Genomic DNA, 25,971 nt, shown 5'->3' with positions numbered 1-25,971 from the left:
TGGAGAGGGGACAGAGAGAAGCAAAATCAAGCCCTCCGGATACCACTAGAGGTTGTTAGAGCACCCATTCATTACTCTGCAAAGACAAGTAGCTATTTATTCTGCCAATCCCGGCTGAAGCTTGTTTCAGAGGTACGAAACAGCCCTAGCAGATGTGGGGAAGTTCTTCTGTACCAAAGAATTCCAGCCTGTACTTGCAGGAGGAATGACAGAATGGCAAAATCACCATTTTGAAACTTTGAATGAAACAATGGATGCAGGCAGTGGTCACCAAGGACAATACCGCCTTCGGGCGGACAGGCGGCCGCCGCAGAAACCCAGAGCCTTCTCAGCACCGCTCCCAGCGCACGAACCTCCACAGCATTCTCGCCAGAATTAAATCATAAAATAAAAATCTTAGGTACTTGAATGTAAACCAAGTCTTTGAATCTAACTTTCAGGCTATAGGAACTAAGGCAAATGACTTAAACAACACAAGAAAGTTATGAGCTAAGTCCAGAATCTGGAATCCAGATTCTTTTAGCCAACAGCGTGGCAAATGGGAAGAAGCAGGGGACAGAGAGAATGTTCTGGGTGAAAGAAACACAAAAGACTTAAGAGACATTGCAGCAGATTGATTTAATGAGTGGAACCAGTTTGGATCCAATTAGAAAGAGAGAAAAAAAGTAAAAGGCATTTTGTCAACAGACCTTTGACCATGGACTAGGCACTAAATAATAACAGGAAATTGTTATTTTTGTTACATGTGAAAAGCATTGCTGTTATGTGAGACAATGGTCCATTTTTGATCTTAATAGAAACACACTGTGCTATTCAGTAGTAAAATGGGGTTTGTTTTAAAACAGTAAGTAGTTCAAAACCAAGAAAGAAGGGTGGGAGAGAACGCTGGTGACAGAGGAGCCGAGTCGAGGGTTCCAAAGGCTAACTGCGCCCTCACTTGTCACTATGGAAAGTTCTTTTGAAACAAGTGAGAGGCTCTGCAGAGGGGCCGAGTGTGGCAGAACATGCAGCGAGTGACATGAACACTCAGAGGTGGGAAAAGCCGTCACATAGGGAGCCCGCTGGGCACACGTGCCACAGATGAGAGGCGCTGACGCAGACGTCGCCTAGCTGGGATGAGACAAAAGCAACGCCAGTGTCGGAGTCTGAGTAAAGGCATGTGCACCGGAAACGTGGAGATACAGAGAGAAAAGTCACAGGGAAGCACGTGTCACACGGGGATCTGACTCCACTGGATCCTGTTTAACACCTACGGAGAAGGAGAAGAGGAGGCGAACCAGTGGTTCTCAAAGTGTGGTCCCTGGACCAGAAGCATCAGGAGAAACGGGGAACACTTTAGAAAAGCAAAATCCCAGCCAGGCCAGACCTGCTGAATCAGAAACCCCGGCCACGCCAACAGGCACCAGGGTGAGGGCCATGGGCGAAACTGACTGGCCTGTTCCAGGGCTCTGCCCGCTCCTCCCGGGTGTTGCCCATGCTCCCCGACACAGCGGTCGGGCCTGACCTTTGGAACAAGGCTCCCATTCCTGCCTTCCTCACAGCAGGCCAGTGAGTCTGGAGGCGCCACCTGGCCCCTCTCACGGGCCTCACCTGTATCACCTGGGCGACGGCCGATGCTGCACAGGCTGCCGTGGACCTGGAGGAGCGCCCTACGCAAAAGGCTTGGAATAATGCCCAGCATTGCTACACGGATGGTTGTCCTGTTCACAGCTCACTTACTTCCACAATGTGCAGCTAAGACGCAATAATCGAGCTGAAGATGGATCCGCTGGCCAATAAGACCAGGAAACTCGTGGAAGCAACAGCCTGACACACCCCTCAGGAAGCAGACGACACTAATGGCCACGTGCTGACTTCGGCCACAGCAAATGCAAGCCCGGGGCAGCCAGACACCTGAGCAGTGTGACTGCATGTGGTGCCTCTCGGCCTGGTGCCAACAAGCCTCCTGCTCAGACCCTCACCATGGCCAGCCATGGTCACGAGGCTCTGAGGGCTGAAAGAAATCGTGTTAAAAAGAACTGGAGAAATTCTCAGAAAACATTAATTCCGTCTGTGCTCTGCCTGATCCCCCCTCCTGTCCCAGAGGCAGCAGAGACGGGACGTGCTGAACCCTCTGAGTCTGTGATCCCCGGTGAAAGGAGGGAGGTGGCCGAGGCCCGGCCCTTGCGGGGCCTGCCCTGCAGGAAACCACAGTTCTGGGCAGTTCTGGACTCACCTTGGTGTGACTATCCTGCCTCAATCTACTCACTTTGTTTATAGCAAGGTAGGAAAAACCTTGACAAAACCATGATCATAAAAAAGAAATACAACAGGCCATTTTCATTCAAAGACTTTGTCTACACAGTCCTCCTTTTTAACAAGCTCTAGACCTGTGTTTCATCATCTGCCGTGATTTCACTGTTGGGATCTGCTCGATTGGTTCTGCGCAGAATCCACTCAGGCTCCCGCCCTGGTCACGCAGCACAACTCACTCGAGGGGCTGTCGGGGCCCCTGCTGGGCTGGGCTTTCTCACTCACTCCTCGTGGCTGCTTTAAATGAAAACAAACGTGCTTACTTCATGGTCCACGCTCTCTGTAGCCATGCACTGGTTGTTGGCCAGTGTGGTGATCTCTCGACTCTTCGGTGTTTCCATCCGGCAGCTGCAGAGAGGCACTTCCTGGAGGCCGTCTGTCTCCAGCACATCTGGACCGTTGGCCAACCCTAACGTCACACAGACACATGTCAGCTCATGCAATCCTGACCTCAAAAGAACATCTAGAAAGTGATCGATTATAGTCTCAACAGTGATCTCACACGCCAGGAAATGAAAGCAATGCGGTTGATTACCCAGCACAAACAGCCCTGCGTGGGGCGGGGATGGCCACCACCTGGGCAACATGAAGGGGTGGCCTGTGCCTCCCCAGCTAACAAACCCCCTGACAGGGTCTCAAGAGGCACCTATTAACCTGTGTTCTCAGGTTCTCAGGACCCAGGACACAAGTTCCAAAGCCAGAGGCTGGTACCTCTGGCAGTAGCTCCTAAATCTTTTGCTTTCAAACAAAAGAGCATTCACTGCCCTTTAAGACCTTGTTTTCCTACTTGGTTTTAGAATGGCAGCCACAAAAAAAAAAAAATCAGTTTGGAAGGTTTTAATAACGGTTCATCTATTATCTAGAATCTCACTCACCTACTACAATAGTCCAAAGAGCCCATTTATTAGGCTGAAAGAGGAAAGCACCAGAAAAACAAGGAAAGATAAACTAGAGGAGAATTAGAGCTCAATATGCAGCTGACAATGACAGCATAGTCCATAGGGAAGGCTGCAGCAGGGCCATGGTCAGGCAGGCGGCCTTGGGCCCGTCCCAGCACAGCCAGGGCTGGTGCCCCCATGCCCTGCCCCAGCCCCGGATGGGAGAGACGGGCAAGGCCAAGGCTGTTGAGCAGCAGGGGCGGGGGTGGAGGGCACCGCCAGGAAGACCCTTAAGCTTGGCAAGTGGCTACAGTGGGTGCCGCTCCCAAAGGAAGCCAGATCGCATTTCACGTTTTCTTTTTTGTTAAACAGTCAAAGCAGAAATAGAAGATGAATCATTGTCTCAAATACTCACTATTACCTCTCTTAATTAAAAATAATTAACTCTTGGCTGGGCGCGGTGGCTCACGCCTGTAATCCCAGCACTTTGGGAGGCCAAGGCGGGCAGATCACGAGGTCAGGAGATCGAGACCCTCCTGGACAACATGGTGAAACCCCGTCTCTACTAAAAAAAAAAATACAAAAATTAGCTGGGCATGGGGCACATGCCTGTAATCCCAGCTACTCAGGAGGCTGAGGCAGGAGAATCACTTGAACCAGGGAGTCGGAGGTTGTAGTGAGCTGAGATTGTGCCACTGCACTCCAGTCTGGCAACAGAGTGAGACTCCGTCTCAAAAAAAAACATTAACTCTTGTTTTCACATCTAAAAATATAGTGTTAAAGTAAATTAAAATGGAGACCAAGACTAAAGAATCCTTGAACAGACAAAGCCAGTTGAGCCAAGGAGGCCATCTTGACCTTGCTTGATTTGAAAACAAAGGATATCTTGGGCTACTTTTGGCAAATGCCTATAGTAAAGAAAAATAAAACTTAAGCTCTACCATTCAGAAGCAGCCAACCAATCTCTAGAACTAGGGACTTTCCAGCAGGGACAGAACAAACGAGGAAACTGCGTCATGAACCAGTGGGGTGTTTTCCTGGCTTTACTCCCACGTTCACCCTAAAAATCCTTCCCCTCGTGTTTCCTCAGTGCAGCTCCCAACGTGCTTCTGGTTTGGAGCTGCCTCGTTCATGAATCGCTGCTCAAGGAAACCCTTTAAAAGCTGCACTGTGCCTTAGTGCATCTTTTTATTTTTTCTGAGCCAGAGTCTCGCTCTGTCGCCCAGGCTGGAGTGCAGTGGTGCGATCTCAGCTCACTGCAAGCTCTGCCCCCAGGTTCAAGCCATTCTCCCGCCTCAGCCTCCCAAGTAGCTGGGACTACAGGCGCCCGCCACCACGCCTGGCTAATTTTTTGTATTTCAGTAGAGACGGGGTTTCACTGTGTTAGCCAGGATGGTCTCGATCTCCTGACCTTGTGATCTGCCCACCTCGGCCTCCCAAAGTGCTGGGATTACAGGCCTGAGCCGCCCTGCCAGCCTCTTAGTGCATCTTTTACCAACACCCATGCTGAGTCACCACAGCCGCTTCTGTCTGTCTCTAGCCCATTTGGAATCTGATATTGGTCACGGCCAGGAGAGAATCCAAATCTGTGCAAAGAGCCAAAAAGCACGTGAACGGTCCACGCTGCCGTCAAGGACTCTGTGCAGGAGGCACTTCCTAATCATGTGCTGCCCGAGGTCCCAGCCTCGCCTCTGGATCACCCAAACCCCTAAAGACCAGGAAAACGATGAAGTGAAACTTGAATTCAAATCACTACAAGTTTAAAGCTGGGGGGGTCTCTGAGATGATCCTGCTCAGCAACCTGATTTTTAAAAGGAGAAAACACACACAAACCCCACAACGCTGTGAGATAACTGTCCTACCACAGCACTGGCCAACAGCAGCCAAGAGGCTGCAGTGAGATAGGTAAGAACCCAGGGCCTACACGCTTGGATAACAATGCAGTGGCTCAGACACCTCCGTGGAGGTGGAGTGTTTCTGTTCCCACAGTGGAACTACCAGGGACATCAAACGAACTGACTGAAGCAAGCCTCAAGCAATCAACCTCCGCCAAGCTCTGCCTCTCCCGCCCTAGCCCACGTTGCCATGGTTACCGACTCCTGGCCCCTCCCAGGCTCAGACCCTCTGCCTCCTGTTGCTGCTGGGTGACATCGCCATTCAGCCTCAATAAGGCAGGCCCAAGAGCAAGGCAACGGGGAAAGAGACGAATGCATACGGAGAGGACTTCTCATCTTCATATTCTCCTTGGCCCAAGGCTCAAGCCTGGACCCCCTGACCCACAACCAGCGGCATCACCTGCCCCCACTGACCCGCTCAGCACACTCCACAGGCCGATGGCGCCTGTCCCATCTGAAACACACACCACCCAGGTCTCCCAGAGCCCCAGACGCCATCCAGCGCCACTTGACCACTGCCTCCCTCTGGGGTCCCGGGCCACACGGCCAGCACCAGCACAGTGGGCGCACCGCCTGTCTCTTCTACACACTGATGATCTACATCAAGAGCATGACTGAACAGGCCAATCGCTGACTGACCAATCGGCGCTGATCAAACACAGGGAAATCAATTCTGGGAGGCAGTTTACAAAATGTCACACAAGCTGAGGAGCCTCTACTCCCTGCCATTTCTCCTCCGGCTTTGTGTTGGCTCTCGCCCTTTGGCCCTGATGCTCGGCACCATCCTTCCTTTAGAGCTACCTTCCCCCGACCTCACCAGAGACAGCAGGCGCACACTGACAGGTGGAACGGCCTTCATGTGCCAGCTCCCGGTCTCCTGCCACTCAGCATGCCCAAGGCCACCACAGCAGGAGTCGATTTGACAAAATGAAATACTATTTACTCCTTAAAACCAAGTAACTTCCTGAGACCTCCAAATCTAAAAGCAAGTTTAGAGAACTGAAACACCCAGTGTTATACTCGGAAAGCATGGGGTGACCATGCGAAGGACTTCGTGATGCTTGAGGGGGTTCTGCTCCATTTGGTGCAAGAAGAGGAAAAAATATCATCGTTTCCATGACGGACTAGGCTAAGATTTCTTTTGTTGTTGTTGCTGCTGTTGTTGTTTTTTGTTTTTTTTTTAATTGAGACGGAGTCTCGCTGTCGCCCAGGCTGGAGTGCAGTGGTGCCATCTCGGCTCATTGCAAGCTCTGCTTCCTGGGTTCACACCATTCTCCTGCCTCAGCCTCCCGAGTAGCTGGGACTATAGGCGCCCGCCACTACGCCCGGCTAATTTTTTGTATTTTTAGTAGAGACGGGGTTTCATCATGTCAGCCAGGATGGTCTCGATCTCCTGACCTCGTGATCTGCCCACCTCGGCCTCCCAAAGTGCTGGGATTACAGGTGTGAGCCACCGCGCCCAGCCGGACTAGCCTAAGATTTCTATCTTAAGCTAAAGATGTGATTTCCTAGGTGAATTACATAGGTGACTCAAACCTCCCTCAGTGTTCAAAACCCTAAAAAGCTAGCTATTTGTCATTTTTAAATGGCCCATTAAGCCCCCTGCAGTGGTCTGCAATGCCACACCAGTAAGATCTGTGGGGAATGTAAATAAGATTTGCATTTCCTCCACATCATGCTTCGAATAAATCTTCCCAAATAATCAAATAGGTATTAGCTACTTTTCACTCATATAAGGTTTCTAAGTTGCTTAAAAAGAGAAAAAACTGATAGAAAGTGTGAGAACGGACAACTTCTGGCACAACAACTCCCAACAGAAGCTGCTGATTCACCTGTGATTTAGAGGTACAAAAATACACTAAATACGAATATTCCATTACAGAACGTATGTCAGAACTCTCAGCTCAACACTGACCAGGGACATATTTCAGCCAATCAGAGACACCTTATTCAACAGTACGTCCCCGTGTGTCCTGAGATGCCACCAGGGAGGGCGTCTGGCCGTGGGCAATCCTCCACGGAGCACGCCTGACCCACGGAGGGAGATGACCGCCACGCTGGGCCATGCTTGGGCTTCGCCAGTTGACTCTTAGAGGGTTTCCGTAATGTCTCTTTCTTCACTTGAACACCGGGACACAGCAAACGCACCCCATCCTGTCTACACCTCAGCTGGAAGTGATGCAGTTAACCCGATCTTCTACTAGTGTCCACCAAGGGGCATCATGCTAATACAGAGGAAGGAGCCCAGAAGACAAAGGACCAAGATGGTGCCCGGTCTAAGTTACACCACCACATTCACCTTCTGCTTGTGAAGACAGAATTCCTTTGACTCGGAGATCCAGGGAGTCCAGAGAAACTTCCATGTACCCTGTGCTGTCTCCTGGTGCCGTCTGCTCAGCGCTTCCTGCAGATGACTTATACGACTCAGAACCTAGGTATGAAAGGCACACACATCAGACACCACGCACCCAGGCGGCCGCACCCACCCAGACGCACAGGGCAGCAAGGCTGGGGCCCCAGGAAATGGACTACTTCTAATTAATCCATTCAAAACCACAAGTTGAAACCCACTATGGTTTAGACCATTCCAGTTTCACTATCATTTTCTCTCCCGCATATTATTTTGCTAATTCCCCCTTTTAGACATAATATTCATGGGGGAGGAGAGAAGCTGTATAGACAAAAACAAAGGCACCAACATGTCAGCACATCTTTCTCTGTAACTACACCAACTACATAAAAGCTATCAAATGATCAAAGAAACAGATAAAAACATGGTAGTCATATGTTGTAGATTATTTTTAAATAAAACAGAAAAATCTAACTTGCAGATTTGAAAGATCAGATGTAAAGTAGCTAAAGAGATGGCCCAAGGTGCCATGTTGCAGGCAAATCTGTGTCAGAGAGAAAGCAATGACCTCCCGGGCGTCCTGGCTGAAATCCAGGGAGGCTCCCGGAAAGGATCAGTGTCGACTCCAGTAAACACGGGAGGCTCACGACACCCACAGAAGGTGCCAGGGAGCAGGGTGCTGTGAGAAGGACCGGTGTCCCCTGGCTGGCAGCGAGGGCAGTGGGGGGTGCAAACACTTCTGTGGGCTTCCCTGCCCTCAAGGACACACGAGTGGTGGCCAGGCCAGCCTGTCCACACTTCCCAGGAGGGCCGGAGAAAGATATATAAAATTGGGTGTTTGTAATCACAAGGGCATTCACTGAGGAGGCCTATGAAAGTGTGTACCTGTACCAGGTAATATCTAACTCCGGCCAAGGGCAGATGGTCACATTTCACAGCCAAGCTTCTAGGGACTAGTCACCAATCTTATTTCAATGACTGGAAATAAATGAACACTAGCACAGAGAGGTATGGTAACCAGTCTTTTCATTCAAGCCACATGCTCCACCTAGATCTTAGACAGACAGGAAAAGTCAACCACCTTTGAGAAATCACCATCATCAACTTGAAGAACAGGAGTACACTTTGTATAGTTTTAAACGAAAAGAAGATTTAAATAAAAAATTCATAAAGAAATAAAATTCAAACTCCTCTGTGAATATTTAAAAGCACACATTTTGCACATTACAGCCAAGATGACAAAGATGAAATCTCTACCCCAAAAACAACTTTTAGTCTTGGCTCTAAAATGCTTTTGTTGGCCAACAGTAAAAGCCACATCTGGTGTTATGATCTGAATCAATAAACTGAGGTGAAGAGAAACGTAACTGAAGCACCACATGCAGCTCCCGGGGGGCTCACACGTCCTCCACCCTCAAACGCCAGGAGCCTCCATGGTGACTGCCTCACGCCCCAGGTCTCCCGCAACCCTCTCTTTTCAGGGGATGACGCCTCCCCAACATCCAGTTAACAGAGGTACTCTACATTGGGGAATCTAGATTAGCCAAAATCACTGTGAATAAGAACAAAGTGCTGCCACTCGGTGACACTGGTATAAGGATAAACAAATAAATAAATGAAACAGACCAGAATGTCCAGGAACAGCCCACACACTGAATGTCAACAGGTGGAGAAAAATCAACTCAAGCAGCAGTGCCTATGGCAGCTGCACACCCACTGCCAAGAAGGGGCCTGCGCCACAGCTCACTCAAACATCAGTGCAAAATGAACCGACAGGCAAGCGCGGAGCCTGCAGATGCCAAGAAGAAAACAAGGGACAAAACCTCTGTGACCTGGGTCTGTCAAAGATTTCTTAGAGCACAAAAGCATGAACCCCCCAAGTAAAATAACTCGTAACTTGGACTTCAAGAAAACCTTAAAAACGTTTGCTCTTCTAAATACAGCATTAGGAAAATGAAAAGGCAGGTCAGAGACTAGGTACAAATACATGCAAAACATCCACCTGATAAAAGACTTGTCTCCAGAATATGTTAAAAACTCTTTTAACCCAATGAGAAGAAAAACAACCAGATTTTAAAAGTGAGCAAAAGATGTGAACAGACACGTTTCAAAAAAACTAAATGAAGGCTAAAATGTACAATCTCATTACTCATTAGGTAACAGCATTGAAACTACAGTAAAACACCACTGCACACCCACAGATCCACTGGAATTAAAAAGACTAACCCTAACAAGTGCTGGCGTGGACAGAGGGGAACTGGAATGCTTGTGTGTTGTCTGGACCTAAAACAGGACGAGTGCTTGGAAAACAGCTTGGCAGCTTCCTGAAGAGCTGAACACACGCCACTCTACTCAGCCATTCCACTCCCAGATACCTAACCAAGATCTAGGGAAGCACCTGTTCAAAAAAGATTTGCACACAAATGTTCACGGCCACTTAATTTCTAGCAGCCAAGGCTGGAAAGAGCCCAAAGCCCATGGACGGATGAATGGACAGATAAGACTGTGGGGCAGCCACACAATGGGACACTTCTCAGCAATGGACAGAAACAAACTCCTGGCCATTCGACAGCCTGGCAACTCAAAACAATTATACTCAGAGAAGCCAGATGAAAAACAACCACACAGTTCCATCTATATAAAATTCTACAGAACACTAACCAATACATGGAAACAGAGCAGACCAGGGGCTGCCTGGGAGCAGGGAAGGGAGGCAGGGAAGGGGCCAGGTTATCAAAGGGCAGGAGGGACCCGGGGTGACAGAGGAGCTCATGGCACTGATCATCTGACTGTGGTGATGGATTCAAGGTCATAAGCATGTTAAAACTTGTCAAATTGTGTAATTTATTTCTGTGCATTTTATTGGATGCCAGGTGCACCTCGGTTAAGCTGGAAACAAAAACGGCCCTTGGCACCCTAAACCTGCTGCATCCCTTCTGGGTTTGAGGAGATTTCCTTCCTACATTCACGTTGTGATTCACAAAGTTCCTCTGGAACAGGGGACTCTGACCGAGGCACAGGTGCCTCACTGAGGGGCCGCTTCCTGCACACAACGTGGGAGCTGCCCATGCAGGCCACAGGTTCCAGTCACCCATGCGGGCAGCAAATGATTCACCTCGGTTCAACATTCAACAATGAAGTTGGGGCCGGGCGCAGTGGCTCACACCTGTAATCCCAGCACTTTGGGAGGCCAAAACGGGCAGATCGCTTGAGCTCAGGAGTTCGAGACCAGCCTGGCCAACATAGCAAAACCCCATCTCTACCAAAAAAACACAAAAAAATAAGCTGGGCATGATGGCACACGCCTATAGTCCCAGCTTCTTGGGGAGATGAGGTAGGATGATCGCCTGAGCCCAGAAGGTGGAAGCTGCAGTGAGCTGAGATCGTGCCACTGCGCTCCAGCCTGGGTAACAGAACCAGATCCTGTCTCAAAAAAAAAAAATTAAATTAAAAACAACAACAGTGAAGTCAACGTCCACTACATTGGCCAGAAGGAAACTACTTTAGAATCACTTGAGTTTCTCTAACAAAGTCATTTCAAACATTTTTTTTAAACAGTGATGCCCTCTTTTCTAATGAAATCCTACGCACCCCAACCCCAGGTGGGCCTCCTGGCACCATCCCCTCCCAGGCAGTCCCCGTGATGGCCCACACCCCCACGGCATTTACCGAGGGCACCGCTGGGCTTCTTTCTACTTCTCCGCCTCCTTTTCCTGGCTGGCTTGATCCAGGGACTGTCGGTCTTTCCTTTCCTCTTGAGAAATTTCTTCTTAATGCTGGATTCCGAACTCTGGAGAACCAAACGGGCAGGCATATAAACCACTAAGCACAGGAAGCTACGGAAGGCAAGAGCACTACAAGTGTTTTCTTGCAAAACAGAACACTGGCTATGTCTTGATCTTCAATTAAACGGTGAACTTAACTTGTAGACATTTTGCTGGGTCACACGCTTAAAGGCACCCTGCGCTTTTCCCTAACTCTCTCAGCTCAGTCCCTTTAGAGATAAAACAAAACAAAAGCAGAAAGTGAAATGTATCCATCTTATTTGAGTTTGGCATAAAAGAATAAATAAATTGGAAAGTTCTACTCAGGAACTAAATAAGTAAGCTCAGGAAAAGGGTCCGTTCATCTCGCTCACAAGAAAAGGGACAATCAACGCTCGGCTTGCTTCAGAACCTACCCACATGAATGATCTACACAGAGAACAAGGACAGAGGCTGTAATTAACTTATAATATTTCAAGATATGTTTTAAGCATCTGCTTCTAAAATCCGGATGCAGCAAGGGCATCCATGCCACATGTCACACACGGATGCACAGCAGGCGCCCCCACCCCTCCACAGGAGGCCACGTGCAGGCCACAGTGGGCGGGGGACATTTAAGGTAGGCACAGCAGCAGCACGTGGGCCTCGCTGACCAACTGAACATGTCCCTGCACAAGGCCTTTGCTGGGCAGCCTTCTTCCTGAGTTGGGTCCCACGTGAGGACGGTACCGGGAGCCCTGTCTGCAGCACACACAGCCCCGGCTCCCCTGTGCTCCCCGCACGGCAAAACTTTTGGGAAGAATTTCAGCAAGCGCCACACCCAAAGCTGCTGCTGCTGGAAATCTAGCTGCCCCTCTGCCACCCAAAGACAGACCCCTTCATCGCCGAACACCACGGCCCCCGTGTCCTCCTCCCACTCGCTGCTCGGCCCCTGTGTCCTCCTCCCACTCGCTGGTGTAATGAGCCCACACCGTGAGCCACTTCTCCTGTTTCAGAGCATTTCCCAATTCATGTGACCCAAACTTGCCGAGCTTTCCCCCCACGGCACAGACAGCTCCTCCTCAGAAGCAGGAGCCAACTTCTCCTCCCCTGTGGAACCCTCACAGGCTGGGGGCTTCCTGAGGCTCCATCCTGGGGACTCGCTGCTCTTACCCATTTCCAACACCCAATTCCCGCAGACCAGGGTGCACAATTCCGATCTGGACCCTCCTCAAGGAATAACAGGCTTCAGTAGGGACGGAGCAGAACCCCTCTTCCCTCCAGTCCTCACCACCAGAAAGTTCTGTCCATTCTACCTGGAAACCCTCAAATCCAGCCCTTCCTTCTCGCACGTCAGCCGATGCAGCGGAATCCCAAACAGCTGTCCTTGCTGCCGGCTCCCGCCACACCCTCTCCCTCTGCCGTTCTACCTGGAAACCTTCAAATCCAGCCCTTCCTTCTCGCACATCAGCCGATGCAGCGGAATCCCAAACAGGTGTCCTTGCTGCCGGCTCCCACCACACCCTCTCCCTCTGAGAACCTCCACAGGCCACTCAACTCCACCCCACCCAGCACGCAGCTGGGGCAGCCCCGTGCCAGGCCCAGCCCTGCGCTGCAACTCTGCACGGTGTCTTTCTCATGAGGCTTTGCCAGGGACAGGACCCATCTGTGGCCATCACCATGACCAGCTCCAAGCACATGGGTGAGCGCTCAGGCAACAAGGGTTGTTGGGTAAAGAACTGAAGGACGCTGGTGTCTTTGCATCTCCTCTACATCAGCACAGACGCAGGAGGAGGCGCTGGGCATTACCAGGTCAGACTCGTCACCGCCTTCCTCCTCCTCCCCGGTGTCCACGGACTCCTGCTCCTCCTCGGACTCCCCGTCCATCTGATCAGCCACACAGTCGAAGCGGGAACCCAAACAGAAAACAGAAACCAATTACATCCTTTAGTGGCAGATGACGGATCCAAAGCAAACCTCGAAACGGGCACTGGCCGCACACGCCGGAGACGCTCGCGGGGCGGGGGCGCCGCCGGCCTGCTCCAGCCCTGGCTGGTGTGTGGGGTGACCGAGTGCTGGTCCAGGCAGGGCCAGAGACACACTCTGAGCTTCCACTCTGCTCCCCGGTCCTGTCTCCACATCGGGACCAGAGAGTGGCTGCCCTGGTGCGGACTGAGGCAAGAGCTCACCCGCTGGGTGCTGTATCAGTGAGGGTTCAGGTACTCACTGTATCTTATGAATGGGATAATTCAATAAACACATCACAAAACACACAGAACAATCATAAAAAGATTTTCAGAGGCCACAAAACAATACACAGTGTGAGACCTACCCCCACACACCCATGATCCCAGTCCAATCCTCGGAGCCACCACAGCTAAGTTGCCCACGCCTCCTTCCAGTGAACATCCAGGCAGACGTGGGCCCACAGACGACAGTGCATTTCTAGTCTGCACAGATGGCAGGACACTCAACAGTTCTGTGAATATTATTTTCTTCTAATTAAAAATATGTTCTGGAATTCTTTCCACACCAGAACAGACACATCTTATTTTTTCTGCTGTATTTATCTTTTCTATAAGCACAGGCAATACGCAAATAGACGTTCAGTGCAAAAGACACTGAAACATACGTGAGTCTCCGTCCACCCTGTGCCCGGCACTCCCTAAGGCGGCATGGGGCTGCCTTTGCTGCGCTATTCCACTATTCTCTGCATTTCCCGGTGGACAGGCACCCATGCGACTTCACATCAAGGGTGTACTCTGCGGGCTCGATGGCTCACGCTTGTAATCCCAATGCTCTGGGAGGCCTAGGCGAGTGGACTGCTTGAGGCCAGAAGTTCAAGACCAGCCTGGGCAACACAGCGAGACCCCTGTTTTTCCTGTCAAGTTTTTAAAGCTCCATTTCTGATATCTCTTATCACATAAAACTTTTGAATTTTATCTGAACAAGTCAAAGGTGTCCATCTTTTCCTTCATGGCTTCCAGGTTTGTGTCTTACACTAGAAGAACGTCCTCATTTGAGATTGGAAAAAACAGTTCCCAATATTTTTACCCATAGTTCAATATTTTATATTGACACTTTAAATCTTCTGGAATTCGTTTTTTAAAATAATAGCCACAGTAAGATATGTTTCACCTACTCTAAAACCGACCCTGCAAAGTGTACGGTTCAGTGGTTTTTCATATATTCTGAGTTGTGCAGCAAGCACCACTGTCAGACTCTAGAATGGAGCTCACATTTGTTACGTGCCCTGACACAAGTGCAGGCTGCCTTTTCCCAAAATATTAGTCAACTGGCCCAACCATAGTTATTAAAAAGTTCATGACCCCTTGACCACTGATTTAATACCCCAGTCTTACAATCGACCTTTATACATGTCACAGGCTCCCTGTCCCACTCATTAACCGCCTCAGCGCTCCTGAGTAAGCGTCCCCTCCGGCAGCCGCGCCCCCTCCGGCAGCCACGTCCTGAGCTCCGGTGTCCCCCACTGTGCACAGTCCCCACCACTACTCCAGAGGGTCTCCACCTCCACCCTCACTTCAGAACCAGCAGTTACACAAAAGTCCTGCTAGGATCTTGATGGGAGCTGTTCTGAATTTAGAGGCAAACATGGAGAAAATAAAACAATGGATCTTGTCACTCAGGCAAATAATAACTCTCTCTAGGAACTTAATTTTTAAACTCTTTCACCAGTTTTATAGTTTTCCTCCACATTAACAAGGAACACTCTTTTTTTTGTTGTTAAGTTTATTTCTAGGTACTCTGGTGATATTAAGAAATTACAACTAACTTTTTAGGTCTGATATTGTGGTTTGTCTTTCAAAGAGTCCTTATCTTTTAAAGATCCCTACTGAAATATCTGCTCCAAGACAACCCACGTGTGGAGAACGAGGCCAAATGCTGGAGAATGCTCACTGTCCTCTGTGTGTTTGTGCAGCTTGAAATTTTCTAGAGAAAATCTTTAAAAATATCCCTAGACATTTATTGATTTTACTGATAATGCTGACACTACATTTTCTAATTGGTTATTGCAGCTATACAGGAAAATAACTGGTCTTTATGTCTTGATCACATGTAAGGTCAGCTTAGGAGCTGTAATAGGTTTTGAGCTGATTTTGCTAGATGTTTCAGATGGATGAGTATATTCTCAGCAAACTCTTCTCTCTTGTCTTTTAAAATATTAATGTTTATTTCCGGTTCTTCTCTTACAGAATCAGCAGGAACAGTCAATGCTGCCGCATTCGTGTCAGAGGTGAAAGCAGCAGCCTCTCCTCCCTTGCTTCACGACTGACCATCGAAATGTTCTAACCCTTCTATAAGCATTCCGACACTTCAGTCGGCTTTGACAGGAGTTTTCATGTCACTGGACAGGTTTCTTATTTTAAAAACAAGACAAGGCAATGAAACCACCAATTAACAGCAGACTAACACCACAGCTAACTCCACTTCCTTCCAAAACTCTGGCAAAGCGACTTTTAAGGAAGGAACAAGAGCTTCTTTATAAGAGGCTGCTTGATCACTGTGCATAAGACAGCTGTAAGGAATCAAGTGGAAGCTGAAAACCCAAGGAGATTAGAAAGAGAAGGGGTAACCACTGACATCAGAATTAAGAAGAGGCTGGGCGCCATGGCTCATACCTAGAATCCCAGCACTTTGGGAAGCCAAGGCAGGTTGATCACATGAGCCCAGAAGTTCAAGATTAGCCTGGGCAACATAGTGAGAGGCTGTCGACTGAGAGAACCTCATCTCTACAAAAAAATTAATTAAAAAAAAAAATTAGCTGGACATGGTGGCGCATGCCTGTGGTCCTAGCTACTTTGGAGGCTGAGGTGGGAGGATCACTTGAGCCCAGGAGGTGAAGACTACAATAAACTATGATTTGCCACTGCACTCACTCCAGCCTGCACAACAGAGCAAGACACACACACACACAAATAATAAAGTAAATAGGGAACTTAGAGTCTGATGCAGGTGAACTGAGAAGGCTGACACCCAAGTGAAACAGGAAAAGAGAAGCCAGGAGCAGGCCAGGAGCTTCCCACATCTGTCCTGGGGGTGGGTAGCAGGTCAGGAGCAGGCCAGGAGCTTCCCACATCTGTCCTGGGGGTGGGTAGCAGGCCACAGACCAAAAGTTGCCTGTCCCCCACCCAGCAGGACACAACTCTGGACACCAGGCTCACTAACAGATTCAGGCTAAGAGGGGAGAGGGTCCAGCTCTCCCTTCACCAGCACCCAGAGTGGCTGCCGCACCAGCTGTCAAGCAACAGGTTCTGGCAAGTGGCTTCTGAGCAGAATGGCTAAACCGGGTACTGTTTCAGTGAAAAGGCAGGCCACATGCAGAAGAAGGAATCATGTCGACTACACAACAAGGGCTTGTTTCCAGGCCAAAGAACCCCTACAAAACATGTTTCAAAAAGGACAAACAGCCCAGTAGATAAATGTTTGGGATGTGAATAGGCACTTCACAAAAGGCATCCAAATGGCAAAGTAAGTATGTGAAAAAGTATTCAACCTTCTCATAAATCATGAAAATGCAAATTAAACTGAAAACGTAATGCCACTATCTGCTCGTTGGAGTGGCAGCACCGAGTGTGGCCGGCACAGCAGAGGGGATGCTCCGAGGCGGTGGGGAAGAAGGCAACCTGAGCAGCCACCGTGGGGAGCCGCATGGCAGAGTCCATGGAGGCCAGCACAAGGCATGGCGGTTCCGTTCCCAGTGGGTACCTGGGGCAACACCTGTATGAGGGTGCTGGCAGCAACCTCCTCCAGGACGGCCCCACTGGAACCACCCACAGGCCATCCACAGTGGGACGGACACAGACACGAGAGCAGCCATACAGAGGAACCTGTATGGTCGCCTCCCTGGCCTAAGGCCCCGCACACTCTGAAATAGCACCAAGAACCATAAAGAACGTTTGTTAATACAAGTATCTATTAACATGTACTGTAGTAGAAATTTAAGCTGAGACATGTTCAAACTACAAGGACACAGTGTCAGCCACCACAGCAAAGCCGCCATCACATGTAATTCCATGAATGATAGTGAAAAAGGCACCCAACATCTGAGCATTAGTATGATAACAGTTTTGATCTGCAGACTCTCCCAACAGGTCTCAGAATGCCCCCACCCAGACCACTTTGAAAACTACTATTCCATAACAATGAAAATTAACTAATAATATAAATAAATCCCAGAAACACAACGTTGAGTAAAATAAGCCACACTCAAAGAAAAAAAAGAAAGAATGCATTCTGTGTAATTCCATTTATAGAAAGAACGAAATCAAACATGACCATCCTACAGGGTTAGCACTTCAAACACGACCATCCTACAGAGTTAGCACTTCAAACACGACCATCCTACACGGTTAGCACTCAGGAGAGGGGTTACTTTTGGGGATGGGAGGTCAGTGGGCTTCTGCAGTGCCACCAGAATTCAAGGCTTTGATCTGGGTGGTGGCCACACAGGTACGTCATTCTTCCATCATTACTCAACTGTACCGTTGTCATACATGCAATCACAATGTAATCCCCCCAAATTCAGAAAACAGAAAGCGGACTGAACTTTATAAAATGCCTTTTTTAAAAACACATATACGTTGTGTAGTTTTTCTCATTTATTCTGTTAACCTAGTAAATCCTGGTCTTTAAATAATCTATTTCTAGTAATGAATCACTCTCATCCTGGGGTAAGCCCTACTTCCTTACAATCATTATTTTAATATGTCATTGCATTTGATTCATATTTTATTTAGGAGGCCGGGCGCAGTGGCTCACGCCTGTAATCCCAACACTTTGGGAGGCCGAGGCAGGTCGATCACTTGAGGTCAGGAGTTCAAGACCAGCCTGGCCAACATGGTGAAACGTTGTCTCTACTAAAAATACAAAAATTAGCTGGGTGTGGTGGTGGGTGCCTATAATCCCAGCTACTCGGGAGGCTGAGGCAGGAGAATTGCTTGAACCTGGGAGGCAGAGGTTGCAGTGAGCCGAGATCGCACCATTGCACTCCACCCTGGGTGACAGCGCCAGACTCAGTCCCAAAAAAAAAAAATGTATTTAGGACTTTTGTATTTAGGATTTAGGTGACTTCAGCCTATATTTTAGTCTCAGAATGGGCTAGCGTACTTTTCCTATCCTTCTCTATTCTCTGGAGCCACTTACGTAACGAAACTATCACTGTTGATTGTCAGTGCCCATCTAGTTAAGGCTGTTCCTGCCATCTTGTTCTGTTTTACACTGACCACATTTTCTTCTTGGCTTTGCTTTTGTTTCTTGATTCTTTTCGTGCCTTGACAGTCATTTAATGTTTTACTTTATGACAAATACCTAGAGTTATTCAGTGTCCAGTTCCTCTAGAAGATGAGAACCTCAATCGAAAGAGAGAATCGAGAAATAGACTGAAATTAATATCCCATATGGTACATGATAAACGTGGTGTTGTAAATGAGAAGGGAAGAAATGTCAGTCAGTAAGTGGAGCTGAAACCTAAGCATTTTAAGGGAAGCCCTGGGACCCTTACCTCACATTTTCTTTTAAAAGCTTTATTGAGATATAATTAATATGTCATAAACTTCCCCCATTCTGAGCAGCCCTACCTGATATTTTAATTCTATATGAATCAAATATTTATATACAAGAATGAAATAAAAGAAGTATTAGAAGATAGCATACATCAATTCATTCAAAATCAACAGTGAGAAAGGTTTTTATCATAATTAGAACACAGAACTCAGAAATCATAAAGAAATTGATTAGTACCTGGGAGTTCTGACACTACAGACAAGGTCAAAAGACAAAATCGGCTGGGCGTGGTGGCTCACGCCTGTAATCCCAGCACTTTTGGAAGCTGAGGTGGAAGGTTCACTTAAGCCCAGGAGTTCAACCAGCCTGGGCAACACAGTGGGATCCTGTCTCTACAAAAAATAAAAAAACATCAGCTGGACATGGTGGCACGTGCCTGTAGCCCCAGCTACTCAGGAAGCTGAGGCAGGAGGATCGCTTCAGCCCAGGAGTTCAAGGTTGCACTGAGCGTGATCACGCCACTGCACTCCAGCCTGGGCAACAGAGTGAGACCCTGTCCCCAAAAAATAAAAAACAAAACAAAAAACCCAAAATCCACCTGGGGAAAAAACCTCCATTCATACTGGAGCCAACAGATCAACTCTTCGTTGACAAAAAAGATCGTCAGACTACATTCAAAAGATGCAAAATCCAGAAGAAAAATGAGCAGGGGCTATTTAGCAAGCGGCTTACAGAGGAACAAACACTGGTGGCTGGCTGCTCAGCCCCAGGCATGACTCAGCAATGAAGAGCTGCTGGACTCCAAGAAGGCAGCCCTGCTGGGGAAGGTGAGGAAACCACACCCCTCAGGTCTCTGCAGGTGGAAGGATACAGTCAGAGGTGGCCTGGTGACATCAAAGTGCTACACTGTAAATGCAGACAGCACTTATGAGCCTCCGGCATACTCAGCAAAACTGTGACACTGAATACCCCTTGTAACTTGACAGAAAGAGCGTAACACAGCTGAACAGACAGTGCACTGGAGCGACAGACACGTGTGTGCAGAGACCGCGGCAGCTGCTGGGGTAGCTGCTTCCCCACGGTGCAGTCAGGGCTGCCTGTCCTTCGGGGAGGGCTGGGCTGTGCTGGGCACGTCTAAGGAAGTTCCTGTAGTGACTGTTTCAGAGTGCCAGAGCCACCAGGACAATGGGGTGATGATGCTGTGTTTTCTTCCTCATGCTTCTTCATATAAGAGGAGAAAAAACTAATAATTATCTTAAAATAAAAAATTTTTAAATCCTCTTTAAATATCTAATGGTAATATTTCCAACGAATTTTTAAATAATCAAGCTACAACCTGGGAGCAACATTCAAAAATTTGCCCTAAAACATGCTAAAAATGTACAACAGACTTTGAAATTGAAGCAAAAGGAAGAAAACACATCCCCAAAACTCTGACAAATGATAGAAAATGCTTTGTATACATTCAGGGATACGCCATAGCACACAAAGCTGACTGAAAGGGGAAAAACCTTAACCACTAAAATTATGCATTTTCCAGTAAGTCACTATTTGGATGAACTCACCTGGACTGCTATTCCTACTGTTAGTTTTGGAATAACTTCTTAGATACAAGATTGCGTCTAAATAAACATGGTTGGACACACTCGAACAATAAACCACAGATTTGCATGTCAACTTGATTCTTAACTTTCCACTGTTCGTCCTTATGAAATGCGTCACTCCTAACTGACCCCTCAGAACTGAAAAAGCATGAATGTAACTCCGAAACTGTATGTCTAAGAACTTCCTCAGTTTCCCTGAGACACTGGCCCAGGTGCCCATACCTGGCCAGGGGCAACAGCACCGCTGTGACAAGGCTGGGGCCTTGGCCCGTGCTGGTGCTTGTCCTTGGGTGGACACAGGATGAGGCTGTCTGTGAAGAGAGCACGCCTGGCCCATGTGTGGTGTCCACAGTGCAAGGTGGCAGGCCACGCAAAGCCAACCACAAACGAGCACACAGCAAGCCGCCAATCAGCACTTCAAGCTGTCAGCAATATCATTCCTGTCAATCTAGAGCCCAGAACAAGTTCAAGAGGGCGGGCGCCGTGGCTCATGGCTGTATTCCCAACACTGGGAGACTGAGGCGGGAGGATCACTTGAGCAAAGGAGCTCAAGACCAGCCTGGGCAGCAAAGCGAGTCCCCGTCTCCACAAAAAAATTTAAAAATTAGCCAGGCATGGTGGCGTGAGCCTGTGGTCCCAGCTGCTCGGGGGGCTGGGATGGGAGGATCATTGAGCCCAGGAGGTTGAGTGCAGTGAGCTATGATCGTGCCACTGCACTGCAGCGTGGGTGAAAACAAGACCCTGTCTCAAAAAAAAGAAAGAAAGAAAACACAGAAAAAAAAAAGAGGTTTACTTCAATGAATGATGTACAGAAACATAAATACTTCTTGAATGAAAATAATCTAATAAATCAAGAAAAATAAAATACAAAAATCTAAGCCAATTGTAAACAGGGGATTTTATCAGGGTCTAGAAGTGACCAGACTGTTAATTTTCAGAACCACGGCCAACTTTGTGATGCTCTTTCCTTGTGCTGTCACCCAAGACAGCAACACATACCTTCTGGGCGCGATCAGCCTCCGACATGCTCTCCTTGGAAGTCCTGCTGTCCTCTGTGGGGAACGCGGCCGCCTGCTCTGCACCATGGCCGTCGTCCTCCTCGAGCTCCTCTGAGTCGTCCTCATCCGAGTCCATCTCCAGGCTCTCCCCATTCACGTGCAGGCTGCTGGCGCCCAGGTCCTTCTCCCCCTAGAACACGGGCAGGTGTATACCCCAAGGCAGGATCAGTGCGCATCATGAACAAACTTGCTTTCACTGAGGAGTCTTGGGTGACTGGGAGGTGCAAGGGCCTGTGGGGAGGCGGGGACACACGAAGAGGTGCCCCTGCCACCTGGAGAAGAGCCCGGCAGACAGGTGGGCTGTGGTGAGGAGGGCAGGGAGGACGGGGTGGAGTCCCCCACAATGATCTTGGACACGAACACTCTGCCCCTATGGCAGAGGAGCTTCATGGCACTGGCACCTTCCCGGGGACTGAGGTCACCCAAATTACTGATAACGAGGCCCTGAACACAGAAACGCATTTCCACGCACACGTGGCAACTCACTCAAATGCGTCTCTTACCTTGGAACCCACAGTGGAATGAGTTATGCTCTTAAACATCTCAATCACCGTCCTCTGTTTTAATACTTTGGTCTTTTTCTTAGGAACCAGGCTATAGGTTCCCATTCTTCGTTTTTTCTTCCGAGATACTGCAGCTGCTAAAACAAAAGGCAAGCAAGCTAAAAAAAAAAAAAAAAGTCAAAAGGGGACAAGAAAGGAAAAGAAACACCATTCAAATGTTTTTCAAAGGTAAGAGACAGTTTACAAAACTTGATCACCAAAATCACCAGCAAACCCCATCACAACAGGCCCACTGCCCGCAGGTCATCAGCACAGTGACAGGCATCCTTCCCTCACGATCAATTCACAGAGAATCAGAAACACGTCCTGGATCATCTGTTCATCTGTTCCATTCACAACAAAACACGGAGCAAACATTATCACCCCACCTTGGAGGCAGGAAAGCCACAAATCATCAGTAGCAGGGCTCTGAAGCGACTCCTCCTCCCAGTCCCCTTGGCTTTGCACATGGAATGACTACCCTTGAGAAGTCCTCTCACTTTGCAAAACAGACCAACGTGAACAGCATGTGCAGCAGGGAGGACGCAGCGCGGAGCAGGAAGAGCCCAGCCTCCCTTCCCAGCACAGGGGCCAGGCCAGGCCAGTCTTCCTAGGACACAAGCTCTGTGCCAGGTCCACCCCTGTGACTCCACAGCCCAACACCCAGACACCATCCTCCTAGGCCCTCTCCCCAACACCATCCTCCTTGCGCTGCAATCCAGTGACTAAGGGGAAAGACAGTGCCTGGAGCTACGGTCCAGCTCTCTATTAAAAGATAAGAGGCTGAGAGGGAGAAGCAAATGTCTGGGGGCTCTGGAGCAGTGGTTTCCAAACAAGAGCAGCAGCGAGGAAGGGGCCTGGGGGCTCCCAACCCCATTCTGAACAAAGCAGTTCTAGGTTCGACTGGTTTTATATAATCAGACTCCATGACTTTTTTTAAGTTCCAGGATTTAAAGAAAAACAGATCTAAAAGCCACTGCTTTAACATAAAAGAAACTCTCCTAAAGGGATGGGGAAAATCCACTCTGTTTAAAGCTGGGCACAGCAGCTCACACCTGAAGACCCAGCTACTGAGGAGGCTTGAGTGGGAGGGAGGGTTTGCTTCATTCCAGGAGTTCAAGCCCAGCCTGGGAAACACAGTGAGACCCCCTTTACTTACACACACACACACACACACACACACACACACACACACACACAAATTTGGTTCTACAAAGTGCAGAAGCAACAGTTGGAGGGACGTGAACGAGTGAGAACCATCCAAAGCGGGTAGGTCCTTTGACAGCACCACCCACAGACGCCGCGGGGCCTGGGCAATCCGCTCTGGAGTAAGGAGGTGCCTGGGACCACGGACGCTGGGAAACGATCACACCAGGCGTCTGCAGTATGTTCATGGGGGTCAGGCTCGGAGCACACAGCCAACATGCAGACACTTGGCTCTGTCTGTCCACACTATAACAGGCTGACAGGCCAGCATGGCTGTGCTCAAGCAACAGAAATCCCTTGGTAGCCCTGGGAATCCTAAACTCACTATCATAATCATCTTGATATTTTGAATAGATATTTTGTGGGGGGATGAAGGAGGCCTGGATTTAATCAGATAACTGTCAAGTCTCTCAGCTTTAAATATATATACAGCCAACTTTTGAACATGGATTTTAATCACATAGGTCCACTTACAAGCAGAATTTTTTTCCCAACCAAACAGGTTGAAAATACAATGTTTGCAAGATGCAAAACCCCTGAACACAGAGGGCCAACTTTTCATATTACACAGGTTCTGCAGGGCTGACTGCAGGGTTGCAGCATGCTCGGATTTTGGTATGGGGATGGGGTCCTGGAGCCAATCTCTGCATATACCCAAGGGTGACTACATGTACTTTCTCACTAGATTCTTTTCCTCATTTCATCTCAGTAACCCATGGTTATTAATATCATAAATCGGACATGGCACCTGTTTATAAATAAAGCTTTATTGGTGCACACCCATGCCCACTGTCTACATACTGTCTGCATCTGCTTCAATGTGACAACAGCATGACCAGCTGGGACAGGAACAGTGTGGCCCACAAAGGCGCTGACGTTTGCTACCTGTCCCCTGGAAACAGTTTGCTACCTGTCCCCTGGAAACAGTTTGCTGACTCCTGTAATGAATGGCTGAGTGAGGACAAAGGAGATAACCCTGCATTTCATGTGCTTAAGAATCATGTCGGCCGGGCGCAGTGGCTCACACCTATTGTAATCCCAGCACTTTGCGAGGCCGAGGCGGGTGGATCACGAGGTCAGGAGATCGAGACCATCCTGGCTAACACAGTGAAACCCCGTCTCTACTAAAAATATAAAAAATTAGCCGGCCAAGGTGGCGGGCGCCTGTAGTCCCAGCTACTCGGGAGGCTGAGGCAGGAGAATGGCGTGAACCCGGGAGGCGGAGCTTGCAGTGAGCCAGGATCGCACCACTGCACTCCAGCCTGGGCAACACAGCGAGACTCTGTCTCAAACAAACAAAAAAAAAATCATGTCGGGGCCCAGTGCAGTGGCTCACATCTGTAATCCCAGCTACTGAGGAGTCTGAGGCAGGTGAATCACTTGAACCCGGGAGGCAGAGCTTGCAGTGAGCCGAGATCGCACCACTGCACTCCAGCCTGGGAAACAGAGCTAGACTCCATCTCAAAAAATAATAATAAAATAAAATAAAATAAATCATGTCAGGAAGTCTGTCTGCTGCAAACAAGTGAAGAATGGTGTCTAAGGGCCTCTTACTGAGTGACAGGTTGTATGTGTGAAACAGATGTTAGGTATAAAATTTGCTACACATTAAATAGTAGAGAAACATCTATGGATGACTTTCAGAAATGTAGAATCTATTAAGGACCTGAAAGTGTTTGAGCACGTGGCTGAAGTGTGAAGAGGAGCCGCTTCAGTCCTGCAGGGGGACTTCCAGCTGTGTCCAGGGAAGGGGTCTGGCCCTGAGCCAGACGGCTGGGATTCAGCGTCATCAGGGGCCAGGAGAAAGAAAACTGCAGGACGGCTGGCAGTAAGCTTCGAAGAGGCTCGAGGGCCTCTTTGGAAGGAGGATTTGCAGTCCAGGCCTCAAAGAAGCGGGGCCAGTGCCCTGCAGATGGGATCTGGCACAGGAGAATCCTGGTGGAGAACATCAAGAAGGGGGGCGAGGGGGGGGCTTCAGGACCCCGAGCAAAGACTCTCGCCAACTGGCATCTCACAGGACGCTCGGGGAGGCCCAGGCATAGGACAGTGTGGAACAGACAGTTCCAGGAAAAATAGTGCCAGGAGTGGAAATGGGCGTGGGGTGGGGGTGGGCACTGCCCAGCTGCTCTGCAGGAAGGCTGGGCTGCTGGGTAGAAGAGGTGTGGACAAGGAAGAAAGGCGACAGGCTCCAGAGGGCAGACAAGGTGGATGGGAGGTTGGAAGTGAGGGAAAAAAGCAAGTGCACGGGAAACACAGCAGTCTGCGTGGTCACCACCACAACTCTGCCACTCACAAGGGCTTCTGTCCTCAGGTCACATAGAGCAGGGCCCAGCTCTATGTCCAGGCCTCATGCCTGGACAGCAGCACCTGTAGAACTGTTCCCTGCCATCAGAGACACCGTCCTCCTTCCTCCCTGCCCGACAAGTCCACACAGAGACCCCAGGCCATTCAGGATCAGTATTTGGCACTGTTCCCACCCACCTATGCAGAAGGCACGAACACTCCAAGCTCACAAAGCAAAAGGCAGGGCCTCCACTCTGGGCATGTCCTGTGGTCACCAGCAAAAAAGCGCAAGGGAAGCACTGCAACTTCTGCAGCAACCTGCAGCTTCTACCCAAGTGTGGACAATGAACCCAGTAGGGACCTGCAGCTTCTACCCAAGTGTGGACAATGAACCCAGCAGGGACCTGCAGCTTCTACCCAAGTGTGGAAAATGAACCCAGCAGGGACCTGCAGCTTCTACCCAAGTGTGAACATTGAACCCAGCAGGGACCTGCAGCTTCTACTCAAGTGTGGACACTGTACCAAGCAGGGACCTGCAGCTTCTACCCAAGTGTGGACACTGAACCCAGCAGCAACCTACAAGTGTGGACACTCAA

The 25,971-nt window shown here is 49.1% G+C and overlaps 1 protein-coding gene across 33 annotated transcripts in view, besides 12 other annotated features; it reads right to left on the bottom strand.

Annotated features, from left to right (window-relative positions):
* Positions 1–25,971, bottom strand: part of EHMT1 (euchromatic histone lysine methyltransferase 1) — a 217,123-nt gene that overhangs the window by 70,752 nt on the left and 120,400 nt on the right. For 13 of the 33 annotated variants that reach the window (XM_047423872.1, XM_047423878.1, NM_024757.5 and 10 more), the window contains 6 exons: positions 21,848–22,005; positions 21,286–21,474; positions 12,968–13,045; positions 11,085–11,205; positions 7,365–7,496; positions 2,556–2,701 (listed from right to left, as the gene is read on the bottom strand). In XM_047423872.1, coding sequence (XP_047279828.1) covers positions 2,556–2,701; positions 7,365–7,496; positions 11,085–11,205; positions 12,968–13,045; positions 21,286–21,474; positions 21,848–22,005 — 824 coding nt within the window. Of the gene's footprint in view, positions 1–599; positions 2,702–5,882; positions 6,035–7,364; positions 7,497–11,084; positions 11,206–12,967; positions 13,046–21,285; positions 21,475–21,847; positions 22,006–25,971 lie in introns of those variants that run through there. The other 20 variants (NM_001354263.2, XM_017015138.2, XM_047423884.1 and 17 more) reach the window with 5 other exon arrangements.
* Positions 1,001–2,200: an enhancer, noted in NCBI's record as "CDK7 strongly-dependent group 2 enhancer chr9:140657628-140658827 (GRCh37/hg19 assembly coordinates)". NCBI's record gives its function as "activates an origin of replication core promoter dependent on BRD2, BRD4, P300/CBP, MED14 and CDK7 cofactors, with strong dependence on CDK7, by STARR-seq in HCT116 cells {active_cell/tissue: HCT116}" and the evidence as "EXISTENCE:reporter gene assay evidence [ECO:0000049][PMID:35650434]".
* Positions 2,567–2,666: an enhancer, noted in NCBI's record as "active region_29369". NCBI's record gives its function as "activates an Ori minimal core promoter by ATAC-STARR-seq in GM12878 lymphoblastoid cells {active_cell/tissue: GM12878}" and the evidence as "EXISTENCE:reporter gene assay evidence [ECO:0000049][PMID:35858748]".
* Positions 2,787–2,836: an enhancer, noted in NCBI's record as "active region_29368". NCBI's record gives its function as "activates an Ori minimal core promoter by ATAC-STARR-seq in GM12878 lymphoblastoid cells {active_cell/tissue: GM12878}" and the evidence as "EXISTENCE:reporter gene assay evidence [ECO:0000049][PMID:35858748]".
* Positions 4,004–4,153: an enhancer, noted in NCBI's record as "active region_29367". NCBI's record gives its function as "activates an Ori minimal core promoter by ATAC-STARR-seq in GM12878 lymphoblastoid cells {active_cell/tissue: GM12878}" and the evidence as "EXISTENCE:reporter gene assay evidence [ECO:0000049][PMID:35858748]".
* Positions 6,144–6,313: an enhancer, noted in NCBI's record as "active region_29366". NCBI's record gives its function as "activates an Ori minimal core promoter by ATAC-STARR-seq in GM12878 lymphoblastoid cells {active_cell/tissue: GM12878}" and the evidence as "EXISTENCE:reporter gene assay evidence [ECO:0000049][PMID:35858748]".
* Positions 7,082–7,583: an enhancer, noted in NCBI's record as "H3K4me1 hESC enhancer chr9:140652245-140652746 (GRCh37/hg19 assembly coordinates)". NCBI's record gives its function as "activates a minimal SCP1, AML or CMV promoter by ChIP-STARR-seq in naive H9 embryonic stem cells {active_cell/tissue: H9 hESC(naive)}" and the evidence as "EXISTENCE:reporter gene assay evidence [ECO:0000049][PMID:30033119]".
* Positions 7,190–7,409: an enhancer, noted in NCBI's record as "active region_29365". NCBI's record gives its function as "activates an Ori minimal core promoter by ATAC-STARR-seq in GM12878 lymphoblastoid cells {active_cell/tissue: GM12878}" and the evidence as "EXISTENCE:reporter gene assay evidence [ECO:0000049][PMID:35858748]".
* Positions 16,326–16,825: an enhancer, noted in NCBI's record as "H3K4me1 hESC enhancer chr9:140643003-140643502 (GRCh37/hg19 assembly coordinates)". NCBI's record gives its function as "activates a minimal SCP1, AML or CMV promoter by ChIP-STARR-seq in primed H9 embryonic stem cells {active_cell/tissue: H9 hESC(primed)}" and the evidence as "EXISTENCE:reporter gene assay evidence [ECO:0000049][PMID:30033119]".
* Positions 19,259–19,478: an enhancer, noted in NCBI's record as "active region_29364". NCBI's record gives its function as "activates an Ori minimal core promoter by ATAC-STARR-seq in GM12878 lymphoblastoid cells {active_cell/tissue: GM12878}" and the evidence as "EXISTENCE:reporter gene assay evidence [ECO:0000049][PMID:35858748]".
* Positions 19,669–19,718: an enhancer, noted in NCBI's record as "active region_29363". NCBI's record gives its function as "activates an Ori minimal core promoter by ATAC-STARR-seq in GM12878 lymphoblastoid cells {active_cell/tissue: GM12878}" and the evidence as "EXISTENCE:reporter gene assay evidence [ECO:0000049][PMID:35858748]".
* Positions 19,869–19,918: an enhancer, noted in NCBI's record as "active region_29362". NCBI's record gives its function as "activates an Ori minimal core promoter by ATAC-STARR-seq in GM12878 lymphoblastoid cells {active_cell/tissue: GM12878}" and the evidence as "EXISTENCE:reporter gene assay evidence [ECO:0000049][PMID:35858748]".
* Positions 23,733–24,233: an enhancer, noted in NCBI's record as "H3K4me1 hESC enhancer chr9:140635595-140636095 (GRCh37/hg19 assembly coordinates)". NCBI's record gives its function as "activates a minimal SCP1, AML or CMV promoter by ChIP-STARR-seq in naive H9 embryonic stem cells {active_cell/tissue: H9 hESC(naive)}" and the evidence as "EXISTENCE:reporter gene assay evidence [ECO:0000049][PMID:30033119]".

This window comes from Homo sapiens, chromosome 9, assembly GCF_000001405.40.
Source record: "Homo sapiens chromosome 9, GRCh38.p14 Primary Assembly".
Lineage (NCBI taxonomy): Eukaryota > Metazoa > Chordata > Mammalia > Primates > Hominidae > Homo > Homo sapiens.
This window is presented reverse-complemented; position numbering and strand designations above follow the sequence as displayed.